Source organism: Homo sapiens, chromosome 2 (genome assembly GCF_000001405.40).
Source record: "Homo sapiens chromosome 2, GRCh38.p14 Primary Assembly".
Lineage (NCBI taxonomy): Eukaryota > Metazoa > Chordata > Mammalia > Primates > Hominidae > Homo > Homo sapiens.
In genome coordinates, this window is record NC_000002.12 from 164,012,803 (window position 1) to 164,016,411 (window position 3,609).

The 3,609-nt window shown below is 36.1% G+C and overlaps 2 annotated features.

Moving 5' to 3' along the window:
• Positions 2,736-2,785: an enhancer, noted in NCBI's record as "active region_16723". NCBI's record gives its function as "activates an Ori minimal core promoter by ATAC-STARR-seq in GM12878 lymphoblastoid cells {active_cell/tissue: GM12878}" and the evidence as "EXISTENCE:reporter gene assay evidence [ECO:0000049][PMID:35858748]".
• Positions 2,826-2,975: an enhancer, noted in NCBI's record as "active region_16724". NCBI's record gives its function as "activates an Ori minimal core promoter by ATAC-STARR-seq in GM12878 lymphoblastoid cells {active_cell/tissue: GM12878}" and the evidence as "EXISTENCE:reporter gene assay evidence [ECO:0000049][PMID:35858748]".

Below are 3,609 nucleotides of genomic sequence, written 5' to 3' on the forward strand. Positions count from 1 at the left end.
AGCTGGACCTCAACTCTATTACAGTGCTATGTTTGGTGACATAGAATCAAGAGACTCAAGGATACAAGGTCAAAGGTAGCAAAACATTACATTAATCTGTTCTCTTCACAGATACCAGTGTATCTCCATGTAAAATACAGCATTTGCTGCTTAATTATGAGAAACAAATGCCTAAGGATATTATTTAACAACAACAACAAAAGAACACAAAATAGTTGTCTCTTAGCTAAAGATTTGTAGATAGCTTTTCCCTAGCTCTTATTGTTTTTCTCTTTTTATGACCTCTACAGTTATTACTGGAATTGCTCATGATACTATAAATTGACTTAGTGGCATTGTATTCATTCATCCCTTGCTTCCTAAGTGCCCACATGAAAATGACATGAAAATAATCAATCTAAAATGAAATTAATAAATATCCTACCTAGGCACGCCTTATATATCACAGATGGACTAGATGACATAATATGCAGAAGCTATTTTCAATTGGTGAGGAGACAGAAAATTGACATCAATTTTCATAACGAACATTGAAAGAAATACAAAATTTAATTGCTGAATATCACTTCAAAGTAAATGATCAAATTTCAAGAGAGTGGGTTTTATTGTGGGATTGTCACACTAACTTCACGTTCTAAAAAGAGAAAAAGAAATTGGTAAAATAACTATCATATTCAGCCACACTACTTAACAAAGATCTTTTTTACTAAATGTGCCACCGATTAATATGCCTAGTAGCAGAATCTGCTAAGTGATCAAATAGTTATTAGGGATATGTATAAATGATATAAAGCTACCATACTTGTAAGGCATAATTAGCTATCACCCACGTTTCTTAATCACACAATTCATAAAATTGTAAAAACTTATTTTTAATATTTTAAATTTTGGATGATTATGAGCTCTAACTTCTGTCTCAACAGACTAGGGAAAGGTATGATATATATTCATATACTAGTATAATAGATGAATTTTGCTTTAAAAGGTGCTCCTGGATCTTTGTACATTCCCTACTGCTATATTCTCACATTCTCTATATGTTCTGTACACACCCCATCAGTAGTTCTAGGAGAACTAATTCAGAAAGTCTACCATTTTGAAATGCTAGAATGAATGTATCCTAAATAGTTCAGCTGGTACTGTACAGTTATTCTATCTGGTACAAATAGGCTTTAGCTAAAGGCACCTAAAATAAATAAATAAATAAAATAATAAAAGAAGAATCAAATCCCTCTGAAATTCTTTCACATGGTCACTGCCTTTAACCTCCCTGCCTCAGTACAAAGTTACTCTGTGTCCTTCACTTCTCTGGTTACGATAGAGCTATTTTCTGAGGAGCGATTCATAACAAAGAATTTTCGTTTGTGAGAGCTGTGCCTAGACTGACGCCATGGGCCTTTCCCCACCCCAAGAGCCTTTTGTTTTGTGCCAAAAGAATTGCTCCATTCATTATCCCCACAGATGCTTGGCCTGAAGGCAGAGAAAGTCAGTAAAAACAACAAGAAGCTGAGTTCTCCACCAGCCTAGGCTATCATTATCTACACAAGAGATGATGAGTTTGTAATGAAGTTGACGAGGCTTATTCAGACACTCGCAGATTGGCAAGAGGATAAAAAGTGTCTTCAATTTTCGTGTTGTCTGATGTTGAAGTTAGCTGTCATCCGGCACTAGATTAGTCACACTTTGAGGCAGGGCTTTGGAGAAGGGGTCAGAACAAAGCTACTGTACTATGGTATTTCACAGTCTGAGGAACAGAAGCATAATAAATGTGCTCTGTAATTTAAATCAAGGCGCTGCTGTGGGAAATCGCTGCCTTTTTCACTGGAGGTATTAGTGCTGGGCACTGTGCTTCTTGACATCGCATAACATATAAGAAGTCTGCACAACTTTGCTCTTATAATTGGAATGAATGCAGTGATTATATTGGATGAGGCTCTTCTGAATTCAGCAAAATAAAGACTCACTCGTCACAGAGGATACATTAGATTATGTGTGTTTTATGCTTTTTTAATTCAATTGAAAAATTGGCTAAACATGAATGAAATTCTAATTGGAAACATTTCACACTTTGGCAATATAGATGGTATTTGATAAGTGTTACTGTTTTCCATTCAGTAGGGAATTCTTAGAGCTGAATAAAAAAATTCTTTAAGTAGGACCACAAATTAACCATTTACCACAATCAAATCGGTGGGGTTATAGAAAAAAAATTCCCCTTAAAATCCTAACAAAGCAAACTTTTGAGGAAGGTAATGTTACACACTTTTGGAGGAAGGGGCAATGCCAAGATTTAAAGATAGCCCTTTAATTTACAAGTTAATTTTAAACATTTATTAAAATTTTTTCCAAGATGTGGAAACAGTGTTTCAATTTTAATTTTAAAATGTCAGAGCTTCAAATAGATGTGACTGATCAAAATACTTTAAAAAAACCGAACGAGAAATGTTCTATAAAATGTTTAAATAGAGCATACTCTTACCTTTCAAATATTTAAAAGCTTGAAATGGAAAGCTTTGTCTAGAGGCACTCAGTATTGGGCGAGCTGAGTGTTTCACATTACTTATTGTTCCGTTCTCAGATATAATTCAGACTTAACTTTGCCTGTGGTCTTCCACTGTAAAATATGAAACTCATGAGCTAGCTCATTGTCTATGAATGTTTCCCACTCCCCCACACTCCGTGTTCCAGTTGGTTGGGTCACAGAAGTGATTTCACTTGCTGGCTCTCAGAGTGTTCAGCCATGTATGCAGGGGTTAGTTTGCCAGCCAATGGTCCATGAAGGATGTGGGTGGAGAGGAGGAAGAGAGAAACAGTTACATTTTTTTGTAATGGGAACTTCTAGATCTAACAACTGTCACTAAAGGCTGCTACCGTTGTTGCTTACTGTTCACTTTCTGATCTATTAAGATCACCTTGACTCAGCAGATCTGTAGCCCAATGGAAGAAAGAAAATAAAGACATTGGCGGAGGCTTTGTTCAAGATCCCTAGTCTTGATGCTGATTATCGATCAGGTGATTAAGGCAGATGAAGAGGTTTTTTGAAAGCCGAAGCCTCTGTTTGTGTCTGTCTAGTGTGCCCCGAAAGGGGTTGGGAAATCAATACCCTCAATCACGGCAGAGAGCATTTCTCTGTCAGTCACATGCACTGAAGTGATTAGAATTGAGTCATAAGGCAATGAATAACTGGCACTGGCTTCCTGCTCCTCTTTTTCACCTCATAGAAAGCCTAATGAACTCTCTAGGTTGAGGGGACAGGCTTACGACTCGTGTAGCACTATTAACATACCATCAGATAACAGCAAACCCCTAGGTTAAAGTCGGAATTAGAGATATTAATTTCAATCTATTGAAAGACTGATGCCAGGGAATGCTTCAACCTACCAGGCAAATATAAAAGGGTAGCTGAGTGGCTAACAGTGCAATCTCTTTTCTCTAATATTAAGACTTAAATACACTTCTATATTTAATAAGATGGTCAGAAAGAACAGGGATAAATAATTTAGCAAATGACTTTACAATAAAATATAACACTCCTCCCACATCTCAAATGTGCTGATAATTCTTCCCAAATTCTCCAAATTGAAATATTTTTAAATGTTAATTTTTTTG